Genomic DNA, 17,875 nt, shown 5'->3' with positions numbered 1-17,875 from the left:
TTCGTTTTTAAATTTTTAGGTGAACATAGAAAAGCCTGGAATAAGATTCTTGGCTATGATTACGGGATAAACTGTAAACATTACCTACCCCGAGAATATAAAAATAAAAGTGCAGCTGACAGAATATGGGACGTGGCAGGTCGGGGCAAAATTACTCCCATCATTAAGTTTGGAGAGTGAGGAAATATTGTCAAAATTTAGTGAAACAAGAAATAGAAGTTTAAAGTTATAAATATAACAAACAGAAGAATATAAGTACATAATGATATATAATGAAAATGTGATTAACAAACATTGAGAACAGGAGTGACAGAAGTCAACATGCAGTGAGCTACATATGCACCTTTCACAGAAGGTGTTCAATAATGTGGCATAAGGTTGATGAATCTAGAAATTTTAAAAAGTAAAAAAAAATATTATCTAGAGATATGAAGATAATCAATAGGGAACTTAAAAATGAAAATGGTTGACTTTGCCTTTGTGCAAGCAGCATGGGGAAAGCTGTGAGTGTTGTTTTGAATTGTATGTCCTCTGACAAATACTATATGCTATTTGTTAAAGAAACATTTGTTACTTTGATAAAACTATTCCTTTCAAAAATAAATAAATAATTTTAAATCATCAAGATCTTGCTTAGACATGAAAAAGAACAGTCGACACAATATAATTCTGGACTGCTTCATCTACTGGAGAAAATGATCATAGCTGCCATTTCCTGGGCACCTATTTTATGTGAGGCAGGATGCTGGGTACTTTCTATACTGCAGATCACAACAAGGTACAAATTGGAATGCTTACCTCAAAGATGTGGAAACTGAGCTTCAGGGAATTTAAATAACTGGTCTGAAGTCATAAAGCAGTTGAGTGGTAGATCCAAACCCATTCCAAAGCCTAAAAATATTTAAAAACCAAATGATAGAGGTCATATTAAGTGGTCCCTAAAAGTATATTTCAAGTCTGATATTCTCTGATTCCAAAGCAAAATAAGATAACATTCTACTCAATTTTTTCACGTTAACCTAAAAATCAATACAGAAACCCAATATAATGTGGGTAACTAGACAGTTTCATTTTCAGGGGTTGCGTATGAGGGCCAAAAGGTTTATTATCTAGCACAAGTGCCGGAATGTTCACTTGCAGGCCCTTCGTACATCTGGTGTGCCTGCGTCATATTACACATACTTTATTTGATTAATGTTTTCTTGAGCCTACAACATTTCTGCATGCAAAAATATTACACTGTTACAGGAAAACAGTAAATCAAACAAAAAAGGGGTCCCTTTATCAAAGCCTAGTTTATGTTTATTTTAAGAGTGTTCAAAAATCCACTCCATGCGGTTACGTTTTACGGCTCGTGAAAACAAGCTCCAAATTTACAGATATTTCATAACATTCCTATCAGCATATAAGAGCTTCTTTCACAGCTGGCACAGAGTGTCCTTTCTTCTGTCTCTTCTAAATCGGTAGGAAGCTCCTTAGATCTCCTTTTGCGAACATTTTCTCTCCTGGCAGTGGGGAATCACAAAGGGGACGCTATTGATCTGGCGCTGAAGGGAAAATTTCCACACGATGAGATAGCTAACATAAGTACAAGTTCAGGCAGGAAACCAATGATTTTATTAATTATTGCTGGTCATGTCATTATAAAAAATACTCAGGCTAGAAGGAAAAATACAGAATGTTAGTATGAGTGTGTGTGTGTGTGTGTGTGTGTATGAGAGAGAGGAGAGAGAGGAGAAAGAAGGGACGGGAGATGGGAATGAATGCCATCCTGTAGACACCCCACCAGCACTCACCAGAGGAAATCAAGTTGCCGCCAGTTTGGCTGGGGTTCAGCGCCATCTGCATAGTATTTAAAAGTGAGAGCCAAACTCTGAGCTATTTTATTGGAGTTAGTAAGGAAGCTCTCCAATCTATATCTGAAACTCAACCGTTCCAGCTTCTGAGCATCACTAAAAAGAGCTTATGGAGGTCAAGGAACTTAAAAACAGCACGAGGAGCCGCTTTGCAGTCCATATAAAACTAGGAATCAGGAGCCTGGGCATTTGCAGAGACCATTTGGTCTCTAATGAATGGTGGGAAAATCCTGAGATGGCTCTTGGGTAGAAGATTGTGAGATAGAGGACAATAATAGTACAGTATTAATAGGTAAACTAGACACAGAGTACTTACTCTGGGCCAGGCAGGGTTTTGAGGTTTTTACATTCATTAATTCATTCAATATCGATGGTAACTTCATGGAGTATTATTATTATTGTCTGTACTTTTGCTGAAGAATCTTCCAGGATGAGTTCCTACATTAGGAATTCTCTTCCTAATGTGATTTTTAATTTTTGTTCCCTCAGAATCTAAGACTGTACTTGTTTTTTGTTTCCAAGTGACTCAGAAGTATGCAAATTTGATTCTCAGTTTCTTTCAATATCCATGAAGCCTTTTAAGAAAAACACAGATTTGAACGGATTAATAAGATTTATTGACAGATATAGTTAATAGTAATAATAGCTATTTATTGAATGCTTTCTAGTGCCAAACTCTCCTTTCCATATAATAAATTAAATTAATCCTTATAACAAACCTATAAAGTAAATGCTGTTATGACACCCATTTATAAATGAGGAAACTAAGTTACAAAGTATTAGGTAATCTACCCAAGAACACAAAGCTAGTAAGAGGCAGGAATTAACCCAAGGCAACTGACTCTAGGTTCTATTCTATTGTTCTGATATCTATTGCTACCCCCCCAAAACTTAGTGGCTAAATCCAACACTTTGTTATTATTTTTTTCTCAGTTCTGCAGAATAACTTGGCTCAGTGAGTGGCCTCACTGGGGTCTCTCAAGAAATTATAATCACATGGCAGCGAGGGCTGGAATCAAATGAAGACAAAACTGGGCTGGATGTCTAAAATGCCCTTTCACTCACAAGCCTGCACCTTATCAAAGACGGCTGGAACTGTTGGGAGTTGGTTAGCCCTCTCCCTCTCTCCCCATGTGGCCTCTCAGTGTAGGTAGCTTGGACTTCCTCACAGTATCATGGTCTCAGGTTAGTCAGATATCTTACATATCCCATGGTTTTCCCCATGTGAGCAATCCAAAAGACCCAAGACACTGTAGCAAAGTTTCTATTCACTTAGCTTTGGAGGGATGCAGCATCACTTCCATTGCATTCTATTAGTTGAAAACAAGTCACAGAATCAGCCCAGATTCAAGAAGAAGGGATTTCACAACAACAGTGTAAATACTGGGAAGCAAGATTCACTGGGGGCTCATCTTTGCAGACCAGTACCATAGCTCTTAGCTACATTTATTTGCTGCTTATTCTGCAAACTGGAGAACTGGAGTTTTGGTTTTAGTTTGAACGAGGCAAAACAATGCTACTGAAAATAAGTACGTAGGAAATCCTTTCCAAAACAATAATCTTTTTCCACTAGAAAAATCTGCAGAGGTGGCACTGAGTTGGCCTCAAGTCGGCCTCAAGATGATAACAACGAGAGGAATTATAAAAATGTCTGGAAAGACTCTAAGCCTCATTAGGTAAGATAAAAATTAGCATTTTTTCTAACTCCTTCACTCTTTGGAGCAAAGTTTAAAGTCTCCCTAGAATGCAGGCATTTTCCTATTGAGTTCTTGTCCTGGCTCTGCTGCTAATTAGCCTTGACCAAGTCACTCAACTTCCCAGCAACAGTTTCCTCTTCCTTTAAAAGCCAATTATAAGTATTTTCCATCATGGAATTGATGGGAGGATCAAATGAGATTAGGTACATAAAAGTGATTTGAAAAGTAAAAAGCAAAGAACTTCTTACTATTGGATCTTGCTATTAGCAGATTATTGGTTTGAAGGATGTATCCTCTCTTAGGCAGTAAACTCTGGGTATCAGGGACTGTCTTGTGCAACGTCCTCATTGCCTAGAACAGAGAAGAGCCCATAGTTAAGGAGAGCGTATACTTTATCATCCAAGTAGGAATACTTTTAAGGGTGAAGAGGACATTTTTAATAATTGTGCTATAGAACAGAAGGTATAAAACAGATGTATGGAATCCTATCCTAGTAGACAATAAACATTTGTTGAATATAAATATTATTTGTATTACTTATTTTTATTTTTGTATCTTCCTCATTGTAAATTTCTTGTCATTCTCTCTTATCTCATCCTTCCTTCACTCTCATCCAAGTTTATCTTTATTTCCAAAGTCAGAAGTGAAAGTTGATCCCATATCTACTAGCAAGGTGGCCCTTTCATTAATAGATTTTCACTACTCTGAATGTCAACCTACCTTCCAGAAATTAGAGTGACATTTTATTAACGCCATATGTAATTTTTTTAGCACCTATTACATGGCAAGCTCTGTCATAGCTGGCAGTGGGGGAAGCAATGGCCAAGACAAGCAAGATTCCTGCCTTCGGAGAACCTACGTTCATGTGAAGGAAGACAGACGATATACATATAAAGATAATGATCTCAGATTCTCCGTGTTGTAAAAGGCAATAAAACAGGAAGATTTGGTAGTCAGTGATGCAGGTTTTAGAAAAGGCAATCTACAGAAAGGAGGCATTTCAGCTGACATCTGAATGAGTGAAAGATCTAGGTATTTGAAGGGCAGAGGAAAGTGTTCAAAACAGAGAAAGCAGAAAATACACAGGCCTAAGGGTGGATGAGCTGGACAGTGCACTGAGGAAAGGAGAGCTCATGTGGCCAGAACCTAGGAAACCAAGGGGAGAGGTACAATTCTGATTGGAGAGCACTGGCTTTGAATTCACATAGACCTCTCTTAGACCTCCTTATTCCTATGGTATTACCAATTACACTCTCCAAGCCTACTTTTTAGAATTAATGTGAGGATTAAACAAAATGAAACCTCCTACACAGTGTAGATGTCATACAAATGAAGAATGCCAAAGAGTTTCAAAATTATCTTAAGTTTCTCAAATGAACGCTCCTGAACTAATTCATAAAGGGCTGTATTCGTAAACCACTAATCCAAGGACTAGGTGTAAAAAATAAAACTAATATCATCTATAAGGAATTGGGGGTTATATTTTTACATTTTTCTTGATGGTTATTGAAAACTTATGTATGTGGTCGATCTGAATACAGATTAGCAGAATACAAATTCGAATAAGCTAGCAATCATTTGTGGGAAACTCCTCTTGCACCCTAGGCCTGGTGCCCTTTTCCCATTTCCTAATCCCCTTGTCTCAGTGTTCCTTACACATACTATTAATTTTCCCAGTAATATAACCAGATCTCAGGCATTAGGTTCCCCATCTTCTTGTTAACCCTTACCACATCCTACTCCATCTCTTTCATATAATAAAATACTGCTGTTTCTAAAGAAACCTCAAGCTAGTCAGTCCATACTGAAAGGGATTAAGCTTTCTAGTTAGAACTTGGCCTTTTTGTCTTGTCCTGCACTGCACCTGTTGTGCAGGTGCCATTCCAGCCGCTCTCCACTGAAATGGACAGTGTATGAAGTTCTTTGTGCAACTCTGCAGGTGCATTAATTATAGACTACCTGGATGCATCTAGAACACTTGGCAGTAGCAAGACTGCAGTTAATGTTCTGTTAAACAATGTTTCCAATGGTGTATATTGTGGAGAATTATAAGAGACAGTCAGATAATGGCTTACTGTAATCCAGGAGCCATCTGATCACCTCAATTGCATCCCTACTCAATTTTGTTGCAAAATAAATCTTTTTCTTTGATAATGAGTCTTCAAAATTGATAATAGGTATCTGCATTGGAATAAGGAATGAGAGAGTAATATTTACTGCCACAAAAATAGTTTCTAGTCAGGGAAATTCATTAGCATTACTGAAATGTTGGCTCTTGTATGTGAATGAATGTGCCCTAGTTCTTCTCTGAAGCCAGGAATCCCAAAGGCATTTTCTTACTTTGATTTGAAATGTGGAAAAACTCAGTACTGCCAAAGATTGCATTTTTTTAAAAAGGTGAATCTGAGTGGATTTTCCACCAAGTGCATAAGAAACCAAAGCAATTTGAATAACCTGTATTGAAAATTTAAAAGCACTCATGTGGAAGAGTCAGCATGCAGATCTCTCATTTGAAAAAGAATAAAGGTAATTAAATCATCCTTTTTTAGTTAGTCCAAAGAATACCCACTAAGATGAAACCAGTTTGTCAGCTCATTAGGTAAAGTACATAAAGGCAGCCAAAATCATCTTAGCTCCCTGGAAGCTCAGAGAGCTTCAGGGAATGGACCAACCAATATAGAAAGATTGGTCAGGTATGTGTCCTCTTACCCAGGGAGAAGAGCATCTCCACCAGAGGAATGGCCTATTTCCCTAGTCTTTCAACTAGATAAGAAAATGTTTTTGAGAGCAATTCTTTGACTCAGGGAGGTAGGTGCAGGTGATGGCAGGGAGGGGCTGGAGGTTTTCTTATTAGAAGGAAAAGAAACTTGAGACATCACGCTGTTGAAACTCACTATTTTCAGAGAAGGCAAGTTTTCAGTTACTCATGTTCAATCATCTTGTAATAACACTGAAGAGATATCAAGAAAGTAGTCCTAAAAGAAAGTTATTTAAGGCTAAGTTTGGGCAGCTCCTTCAGTTACATTGGGCCATTAGTGCCTAATGATAGAAGCTGTCTTGAATATAAAAAGGGATAAAGCAGAAAAAACAAGAAAGGAACTCTGAGAAAGAACCAGACATAAGTCAATACTTCAATTTCATACTTCACTAGTTCCTCTGCTTTTCTTTGTTTCCTCTTGTTCTTCCATGTTTACCTCTTCCAAAAAAAATACAGCCCAAATCTCACCAGAAAAAAAGCTAACTTTCATGTCTCTCAGTAATTTTATTTAAAATACCATCACTACAGACTAGGAAAGGCTATTTAAAGGAAATAGCATAACGGTATTCCATTTACCTCTGGAATCATGAAATCAAATATAAGAAAACCATTTTTCTTAAAGTTAAAACCTTGAAGTTTCCATGGAAAACCAAGATCATATTCCCTAATCATCAACATCTATGTTGTATCCCAGGCTCAGTCTCAAATTTATTGAGTCCCATGTGTACAGTATGGGATACCTCCACTGTGATCCCTTCAAAACTGGCATTTATACTGAACCTATAACCTCCTCTTCAGATTTCTTCTTATGGCACACACAGATACGCAGATTCTCACACTTCTACCTCCGAGATCATTTTGGAGCTACCACTACTCTCCTTCACAAATAATTCAATCCCATATACTTTACTAAATATGTATTGAACTCTATTAAGTGCCTGAGAAATAAAGCTAAATAAAAGAACAATCCTACCTTCCAGAGACTCAGAGTGTGGTGTGAAAGAAAGACACATATGCAAGTGACTACAACACAAGTTGGACTAGGATCAGCTCTAGCGTAGACATGCAGAATGAAATGACTGAGGAGTAGAGTTTCAACAGGCAGAATGTGAGGGAAAGCATTCGAAGCAACTGTGACAACATGAGTACAAGCACAGCGTGAGAGACTAGTGAGTATATTCAAGGAAATGAAAGCGCTCGGTACATGGCGTGCCTGGTGGAATTTGGTGAGAAGAGGCTGGAGAGCTAATCCACGCCCTCTGTCCATCAGAGCACAGGTCACACCAAATGTGATTCTTCCTTACCCTGCGTTCTTTTAACAAATTTGTTCCTATTCATGTTGCCAGGAGAAGATTTTTCAGTCCGTTCATCTCTTCATGTTTGATCTGCCTGATTACATTGTAAATCCTTAAGGAAAGAAATCGTGTCTCTTTCCATGTACACCAAACAAAAGCAAGTACCATGCACAAAAAGCATGCCTCACTTCTTGGAGATTCTACTGGAGATACTTGGCGTATTCCTCCAGAGCCCAGGGTTTTTAAGGCAATTTTCTTCACATGTGAAGACTTCAGTAGAGAAGAAAACATCCTTAGGAAGTATCATGAGTTACCAACACGGGGGCAAGGGAGAGGAATCAAATTTTTGCTATTTAGAAGCAGGCCTGGAAGTGTATAATATTCATGATTCCCTGATTATTACAAGATGGGAAAAATCATAGAATGCTAAACAAGAAAAAAAAGAAACCTCCTACTGCCTATTTAAACAACCATCTCAAGCTAGATACAATAGATTATGAAAATCAAACTTCAAGATCTAAAATCATCAGCCCGAAACATCTTATTCTCTTTTTATCTCCTCCCTATAACAATATTTCACAGTTCAAGTTTTGTCATCACTTGTCCTTTTTACAATCTTTTTCACAATTTTAAAGAATGTAACATGCGTTCTGTAGAAGAAAAAAAAAGACAGGATTGCACCAGATTTACTCTGACCTTTTTAAGGTTCCAAATTTAGTTAGTTAGCCATTTCTATCCTCCTAGCTTTTCAGAAGCTCATGTGTTAGAACTAAAAATGGCAAACCTCTCCAAATTACCAGCATTTAAAAGGTTAAACAGTTTATTTTTATCCCACTAGCAGAGCATGAAAGCTCCAGTGTGTTCAGACTTGCTATGACAAAGATCACAGCAAGAATCCAGAAATTATCTGTTTTTAACCCTTTGCATTTACAATCCTCAGATCTCACTCTGGGGATTTTCTTCCCAAATTTTGCAAGCTGTTAGACGGTGGCTCTCAGAATCAGTCAGTTAAAGTCCTGTGGTGCAAGGCTACTACCTTTCTTCCTCAGAGTTGATCATCTTGGTCCGTAGGAGTCCAGAGTGCAGAATTCGAAGACTCCTAAGTATGGAACTCTCACTGCAGCATATGGACTCCACCCTCTGGGCTACTTCAAGGAACATCTGATTTTTCTATGTAGGGCAGTTTTCCCTCATATGAACATTCTGATTTAGGTAGATAGATTGCTTTTTTCATGGCCAGAAATAAACATTTTCAACGATATTGAGTGAAGCAAGAACCAGACTCACATACCTTTTGTATAAGGAGACACAATTTCATAGAAAAAAAAAAACCGGAACTTTGGAAATAAATACCATTTACAAGATACATATTTTGCTTCTCTCTCTCTCTCTGATTAATTCTTACAATTGCTTTTTTAAATTCACCATTTTAGGGCACACAGGCAAAAAGCGAGAACCCCAACAGTAATAGCAGAGGCTTTGCCTTGTTACCTATGAATTACACTTGTGTAAGACTTCTTGTTAAAGATAAATGGGGGTCACCAGGGGGAAGGCTTGGCAAAGGAAGGGAAATTCATCTACAGGTGCTCCTCGACTTCGGATGGGCCTGCAATCCTGATACAGTACTTAACAGCCTTGTTTCTTGATTCCCTTCCACCTGAGTACTTTCAATTTTCTACCAAAATAGCCATGGCTTGTCTTTTCCTACCCATTTCAAAACCTGCTTTCAGAGCACATAAATGGGTGGCATAATTTTCAAGCATGAGAAAAGTGAACTACCCACTCTCACAAAACAAAGAAAGCCTGCTGGGCTGTTAAAAAATGAAAGAATTAAAACAGAGTTTTTTGTTTCTGATATGAGAACGCTTGGTCTGACCTTCGGAGGCACGGCTTAGGCTTTTGTGACCTACACTCTGAAAGCCAAACTAGAAAGCAGAGTTAGGATGTGTAGTTAAAATATAGGTATTAGATAAAGAAATTCACGACTTATGCAAAACTGATTCTCTCTGGGGTCCTAAAAACTACGCCTCTATTCTCAGAAAACGAAAATGTAAGTGATAATAATGTGTTACATTCCTTGAATATATCAGCCGTACAAAACCACTGCTAGCCTAGGTTTTAAAAAATGTATTTGCTCTCTTCAAGGAATCTTTCTGCATAATATAAAAGTTCTCTTTTTTGCCACCTTTTTGGACACAGGGACGATGAAAACGCAGAGGAGTCAAATCTTATGCAGAGTTAAGTTCTAAATTCAGCATGTAAGGTGAAAATTACGTAGTCGAAATTACCCTTGAAAATCCCTCAAATTATCCATAAAGTAGAGTATACATATTTTTGTATATACAACATTATACAGTAATTTTTATTCATGCTAAATTATGGGAACTTCAACACTGGATTAATGGAAGGAATAAAAAAGAAAATCTATGCAACTCTCTGGACATTCAAAATATTCTATAAGAAAAGATAGAGCATTGTAAATCTTCTTTTTGCTTGCTTGATTTGCTCTATATCTCCTTAATATTTATCTTCTATAACTCTAATACATGTTAATAGATTTTTTGTGTGTGCGGGGATTATACCAAGTTAGTAGAGCCAAATCCTACCCCAAAACATATGTATGGAGGCTTGATATCATCGCCTGTGATCAATTATGATTTTATAATCCTAATAATTCTATAAAATGTATTCAAATCCATTACATTATCTGACTCTTATTAAGTAATGGGGACAGGTATGAGCATTGTCGATTGTAGATGAAGAGAAGATGACCTGGAGTTTAAGCTGCTTGTTCAAGGGCAGGCTGCTCATTAAGGGCAGAACAGGGGATTAAAACCAGATTATCTCGTTCCCAGTTTAGTGCCACAGCTAAAGGATCAGAAGAAGGCAATTGACACAGAAACAATGTACCTTCATTTGGGAGACTGTAGGGTATTAAAAAAAGGAAAAAAGTCAAGAGGAAGGAAGGAAAAGCAAAGCCTGTTGTGGTTACCCACTTTAAGATCCATCTTTTGGAGGAAAAAAGTATTTATGAATTAACAAAGACAAAATAAAAAAATACGGGTGATTTATAAGGATTCTAGGATAAAAGAGGAAATAAAATCCCAGTAATCTGGCAACGTTTGGAACATCAGTTATCTAGAAAGACTTACACTGACACCAACCACAGCTGAAATACTTTTTGCACGCACCCTTAAAAACTTTGCAAACTATATCAAGGGAAAAAAAGAAAAAGAAGGAGAATAAAGAAAAGAAGGAATAGAAGAAAAACACAGAGATATATCCTCAGGGATAACCCACTGAGAGCCTATACCCTTCTCTCAACTACTGTCTTCTCTCAACTACTCCTTACCCCAACACTCACATGCAAACATGCAATAATCATCTACATTTATGTTGAGGAAGTGTGGAGAAAAGGGAATTCCACTTTTACAGTATTGAATAAAAATTGACATGATTACATAAGCATCCAAGGGGTTGGTGTTCTATAGGAAGGTTCTGTTTTAAAGGTGGATGAGAGAAAGGACTGCTCTTTGGTATTGAGGAAATCCATTCTGATTTTATCCAGGTTTCCATTTTGCTTTAATCTAATGAGAAAATAGTCTATGCTGGTAGTAACCAAAGGAGTTTTTTTTTTTTCCAGATTAGGATTACCTTGCCCATTTTCTTGAATTTGATGCAGATATTCTCATTTCAGTTTCCATAACAAAATAAAAAACCCGTAACAAAATAAAAAACCCAAATTCTTCTTGGAATAATGGTACAAAATGATTTATTTTGCTAAAAATAAGAAAATTATTTTATCATCCAAATAAACAAATGCATTATAATTACTATGAATCTGGACTTGAGGGGATCCAGTGAATCACACAAGGAAATGTTAACCACTTATATTTGGAAGGAGGTAAAGAATGTGTTGTTTAAACAGAGTGCTACAATTCCTGTTAGTAAGAAACTTGAAGGAAAGAAAACATGGATGAGAATGCTGAAAACAGAGGAGGAGAGAAGAATCAGCAAGAGGGAATTCTAAGAGGAAGTGGCCAGTGAAAATTTTACTATGGTGGAGCTACTGAAGAACATTTTAAGAATGAAATTTTCTAATGTTAATTGTTATCATTTAAATTGCTTCTTTGATTTAAAGCTTCCCACTCTCTCTCCCCATTCCAATATGTGTATGTATGACCCTGTGTGTGTGTATGTGTGTGTGTGTGTGTACTATATGGTAGTTAAAGTCTATTATCTTTACAAATGTTTTGTATAAAAGAGATTTTGGTGAAATCAGTGAGTTTCTCATTTTTGTTTTCTAAGAGTGAAGATAAAGGGAAACAGAGAAGCAGAGGCCACAGTTTGCACTCATTCCTTCATTTAATCAGAAAATAGTAATTGCATACTTGCTATTCTAGGCAAGGAGGATGGAAACACAAGTTTCCTTTCCTCAGAGGGCTTAGATTCTAGAAAGTAAGAGAGCTAACAATAAATCAAAATATAAAATAATGCCAGGAAATACTAAGAAAGATAAAAATATTTTTAAAGCAACTAGATAAAAAATGATATGTTACATACCAAGGAACAATAAGTATTTCCACTGACTTCTCATCTGCAAAAGATAAATTCAGAGGCAACAGAACAATACCTCTAAAGTGCTAAAAAAGAGTAATTGTCACTTCAAAATTTTATATCACAAAACTATCTTTCAAAAATAAGCGTGAAATATAAACTTTTTCAGATTTAGAAAAAGCTGAGCAAATTCACTGCTGGGAGATCTACATTAAAGGAAGTTCTTCAAACCAAAGGAAAATGAGACCAGATATAAAGCAAAATCTATAGAAACGAATGAAGAGCAACAAAAATGGTAATTAAGTACGTAAATTAAAGACTTTATTTTCTTCTTGAAATTTTCTTAAATGACCATTGAATTTTTTAAACAAAACTATGGTGATAAAAGTGGTTAGAGAGCAGTGGCATCTTATGTAGAGGGATAGTGATACAAATGTTTTCTATCTTGATCTAGGTAGGATTATAGAGTGTATATATAAGTTAAAAATTCATCAAATTTATGCAAGTTATACCTCATTTACTGCATGTAATTCCTCTTCAGTAAAGTATTATTAGAATAAAAGACCATAAGGACACAGAAAGATTTAAAGTTCAGTGATAGAAAAAGATATAACAGGAATATATAATAAAAGAAAGCAGTGTGGCTGTGTTAATATTAGTCTAAATGGTCTTTAAGGAAAAATTATTATAGCTAAAAAAGATACGTATATAATAATAAAATATGTAATGCACCAAGAAGATTTTAAAACGTAACCTCACAATATAAAGCAAAAATGAACAGAACTATGAAATAAAAACAGAAAAATCTACCTCCAACACAAGATACTTCAACATATCTTTCTCAGGAATTAATAGATAAACAGAAACAATTTTAATAAGTTGTATAAGATGTAAACAATAGGCCAGGCATGGTGGCTCACACCTGTAATCCCAGCATTTTGGGAGGCTGAGGTGGGAGGATCACCTGAGGTGGGAGGTTTGAGACCAGCCTGATCAACATGGAGAAACCCCGTCTCTACTAAAAATACAAATTAGCCACGTGTGACGGTGCATGCCTGTAATCGCAGCTACTCGGGAGGCTGAGGCAGGAGAATAGCTTGAACCCAGAAGGCAGAGGTTACAGTAAGCCTGAGCCAAGGTCATGCCATTGCACTCCAGCCTGGGCAACAAGAGCGAAACTCCATCTCAATTAAAAAAAAAAAAATGTAAACAATAAAATTAATAAGCTTGATCTAAAGGGCATATGTAGACTATTCAACACAACAATTAGAAATTGTATTAGTCCATTTTCATACTGCTTAAAAGAACTGCTCGATACTGGGTAATTTATAATGGCAAGAGGTTTAATTGACTCACAGTTCAGCACGGCTGGGGAGGCCTCAAGAAACTTACCGTCATGGCAGAAGATGAAGGGAAAACAAGGCACCTTCTCCACAAGGTGGCAAGAAGAAGTGCCGAGTGAACAGGAAAGAACCCCTTACAAAACCATCAGATCTTGTGAGAACTCACTCACTATCCCATGAACAGCATGAGGAAAACCACCCCTATGATTCAATTACCTCCACCTGGTCTCTCCCATGACATGTGGGGATTATGGGGATTATAATCCAAGATGAGATTTGGGTGGGGACACAAAGCCTAACCATATCAGAGAAGCACTTTTGTTTTTCAGGTGCAAAGGGTACATATACAACAATTGACTATGTGTCGGGCTATAATTATAAGAAGCCTCAACCAATTCCACTGATTGCAACATAATTACATTTAAAAGTCAGTCATCTAAACCCTAGTAGTTAAGGAATCTTAAAAAACACATTTCTAAAGTACTCATGTATCAATAATAATAATAATAATGGAAATAAAGGAATCAAATTTGAGACTTTTGCCATCAATTAGACCAAAGAATGGTGTGATTGTTAAAAAAGAAAGTGGAATTCACTAAGGCGTTCGTTTTTGTCTGAAGATGGGCGATATAATGGTGTGTTTGTGTAATGATGAGGGGAAGCATCCTCAGAATGCAGGGAGAAATGATGATGCTGGTAGGGTAATGGGAAAGGCAGAGTCCTTAATCCTTAAAGTATTGTTAGGATAAAAAACCATAACGACACAGGAAGACTTCACTTTAAGGCAAAGTGAAATGGAATAGAATTCAGCCTGCAGGTGGAGAGGTTTCCCTTAGCATCCATCCATTCAAACAGGAAGAAAGGCAGAGGCTTTGGGAACACATATGGGTAGATGGGGACATTTAGCAGGGAACAGATTAGAAGTGATCCTCTGATTTTTAAAAATATTTTCTCAGTAAAATAAGCAGCAAGGCGATCAGCTTGTAGTGAACAGTAGAGAAGGGATTTTGGAGGCTTGAGGCGAAAGAACAATGTGTGTGATCTTTGTCTTGGAGAGTGGGATAAGAAATTGGCCAGGGAAATACAGTGAGGCAACTATAAGAGCCCTCTTGATTTTATTACTCATAAATTTAAAGGGAATCCAGTCAGCCAGCCAGTCTGTTTCTTTCTCTAGCTGTGATAAACTGTTCTGCTGCATTGCGAAGTGTGCAGTGACCTGGACATATGCCCAAAGGATGGGATTTTGTCAAGGGAGGAAGGAGGAGAAATAAACCAGCAAGAGAGAGGACAGAAAGGATCACAAAGATGAACAGAGTCTAAACTGGGTAAAAGGAATGTAAGATACAAGGAAGGAAATCAGTAGTGTAACAGCAATTGGGTCAAATGTGATATGAATGTATATGTCCACCAGTCCATTTCAGAAGTCTTTGGAGATTTTTTTTAATCTCTTCAGGTCATGAAAATAGGTATTCTAGTTTATTTTCACCATATTTCAAGAAGCAAGGGTGTCACACTTGGCATCTAAAATGGAAGGTTTTAAGCCACATTACGTATTTTATCAAATGTGATTTTCAGAACCTTAATAAATTAGAGTTAAAATCCCTAGTGAGCAAGAACTGTTGTTTATCTTGATCACCGCCATATTTTTAGCTCTTAGTCAGGTTCCTGGCCCAGCACGTGCTTCATAAGTATGTATTCAATATATTAATTAATCCCAAATTTACAGATTAAGAGATGAAAGTCAGAATGGTTACAGAACTTTTCCAAGGTCCAAGAGATGAAAATAAATGAAGCCACTCTAGGACTCAGTCTTACGACTCTTAGACCAGCTCCCTTTCCACTTGCTGGTGCTACTCTCAGATTATACAAGACTGAGAGGAGGGTGGAGAATTGCCCTAAAGAAACCAGCTTACCCTCCTACCTTATCCCTATGTACTCCTTGCACTGTCTAGCTAAAGCACGAGGCATCTGAGGGACTGGGGTAGACTTGAAGGGGAAAACACAGCAGATGATCTGACACAGCTGCGTCATAAAGTGATGGCTTTCAAAACTTTTAAACTGTGATCCACTAATTGCATATACATATTACATCACAACCCAGCACAAGTATTTGCATACACACATACACACTGAAAAAAGTTTTCTGAAGTAATACTTACCCTGACTTTTGGCTACTAACCCTTACTTATGAGAGACAAACTCTGATATTTTCTGTCCTGTTCTATTATTTCTATATTATTCCATTCTTTTAAAAATGGTAGTAGCAACCAACATATGATTTCACAACCTTAGCAGGCAGCAATCTAACATATGAAAAATACTATATAGAATGATTTATGTAAGTCCATGCCTTTCTTTTCTCCTGCTTTCCAAGTTGAAGGAGTGGTCTCAACAGTTTTTTACAGACTATAAGATAGCTCATAGTCATCATCATGATGCAGTAATTCGACATTTGTAAAATACTTTGTCATCTTCTGAATGCTGACTCCCACTTTCTTTTCCATACAACACCCCTAGCCCTGTGATTTAGGCAGAGAGATGCATTATCCATATTTTATAGCTTAGGAAAATAAAGTTCAAAGATGCTAAGTAACTTGACCACAGTCACACAGTCAGTTAGCAGCGGACCTGTAACTGGTAACTGACTGTTCTGCCCCCAAACCAGTACTCTTTTAACTGTGTCTCTATCACTGAAACCCAAATTGTAACATAAGGAACACTGAATTCTACCAGATTTCCCGATAAAGTAAAAAGTGGGTAAAACAAATTCAAAAAGGAACTTGGCTAAAAGTCAAAGGAGTCAGGAGAGGCCTGCCCTAAGGCATCTGGGAGGCCAAGTAAATGCAATGCTCTGTGGACAAAGGGATATCTTAACGTTTATGTATATGAATACATGCAAGGTGGCTAGTTTATTACCAAGATCTTTTAAACCTGTAAGTGCTTATCCTTACTTGTTGCCTAATTTATGTGGGACTGGCATTCAGACTTAAAATGAATCTCTTTTACTAAATATAAAGTTAATAGATGTTTTCAACAATAAAACATGAAAAAGAAAAGAGCTATTCAAAAAAAATCTTGCCATTCTATTTTTTTAAAAATCATATCTTCATCTTCCTTGGCATCCTGAGAAATATTCCCTCAGGAAATTAAAAATCATCCACCATTGTATGCTTATCTTACCACCCTGTGACAATTACAGAAGCGTTAAGATTCAAAAGACAAAGGCTTAACTGTTTTTAGAGATAAATTTATTACCTGTTAGAATATAGACTGTTTCTTGTATTCATATACACCTTTCAGATCCTAGGTAAAATAGACGGTGATAACAAAATAAGCCCCAACTTAGACTGAAGAATCGCAGAATATGAACAAGCACTGGTTCCAGATAAAGAACAAAAGGAAGCACATGTGTTTTCCTCACAACATTGTCTGATGTTGCTAGAAAGCTCACACACAACAGGAATACATTTTAGGAGTTCTTTACATTGCCAACCTTGGTGAAGCAACTTCTCTTTAAGATTTATCAAGCATAAAGTTAGGCCGCTTCTATAAAGGATAAAATGCTCTGGAAATGCAGATCAAAAGGTTGTCTTAAGGAAGGTTTTAAGAATGCTCATTGGAAGCCAATGGATGGGTCAGAACTTGGAAACTACATTGAAAGAATCTTGAATCTGCAATTTTAGGAAACACTTTCAAGGTGACATAAGGACAGCCCTTTGGAATTGATTTTAGAAAATGAAAAGCAGGTTTGGTGCCTCCATATGGGAAACCAAAGATTTAATTGGAAAAGAACTTAACATTGTCTGCTACATTATAGTGGTTCTTTTGTTATGTAGTGTTTTTATTATTTTTAACTACTCTCTTTGTATAATCTTGTCCTGTGTTTACTCTACACTTTCCTTTTGTTTTCTTGTCAACACACTGACTACAGACAAGACTATTATTTTAGCTTACTCAGTGGCTCTTAACATTGTTCATTGAGAAGATCACATCACATCTTCACACAGATGTTGGCAACATGTTTTGCCTGAAAAACGCAAACTGATTTTATTTTTTCATTATACAGTTCAGTTCATTTATTTTGTAAGTGAACTCAAATGTCCTTTTAAAAATCTGAAAGTTTTGAAATATAAGATGATGTGAGTATGCCAGTTTTTTGTTTGTTTGTTTTGTTTTGTTTTGTTTTGTTTTGTTTTGTTTTGTTTTGTTTTGTTTTGTTTGAGATGGGGTCTCACTGTGTCGCCCAGACTGGAGTGCAGTGGCGCGATCTCGGCTCACTGCAAGCTCCGCCTTCCGGGTTCTCGCCATTCTCCTGCCTCAGCCTCCCGAGTAGCTGGGACTACAGGCGCCCGCCACCACACCCGGCTAA

At 37.0% G+C, this 17,875-nt stretch overlaps 1 long non-coding RNA gene across 13 annotated transcripts in view; it reads right to left on the bottom strand.

The window, feature by feature from the left end:
• The window catches only part of LINC02955 (long intergenic non-protein coding RNA 2955), a 491,729-nt gene that overhangs the window by 218,321 nt on the left and 255,533 nt on the right, over window positions 1-17,875 (bottom strand). For all 13 annotated transcript variants that reach the window (NR_187514.1, NR_187512.1, NR_187515.1 and 10 more), the window contains 3 exons: window positions 3,802-3,904; window positions 2,173-2,431; window positions 799-891 (listed from right to left, as the gene is read on the bottom strand). This is a non-coding gene — a long non-coding RNA (long intergenic non-protein coding RNA 2955). The remainder of the gene's footprint in view (window positions 1-798; window positions 892-2,172; window positions 2,432-3,801; window positions 3,905-17,875) is intronic.

The sequence above is a fragment of the Homo sapiens genome, chromosome 12 (genome assembly GCF_000001405.40).
Source record: "Homo sapiens chromosome 12, GRCh38.p14 Primary Assembly".
NCBI lineage: Eukaryota > Metazoa > Chordata > Mammalia > Primates > Hominidae > Homo > Homo sapiens.
Note: the sequence above shows the minus strand (reverse complement) of the source record. Positions and strands in the feature narration are given on the sequence as shown.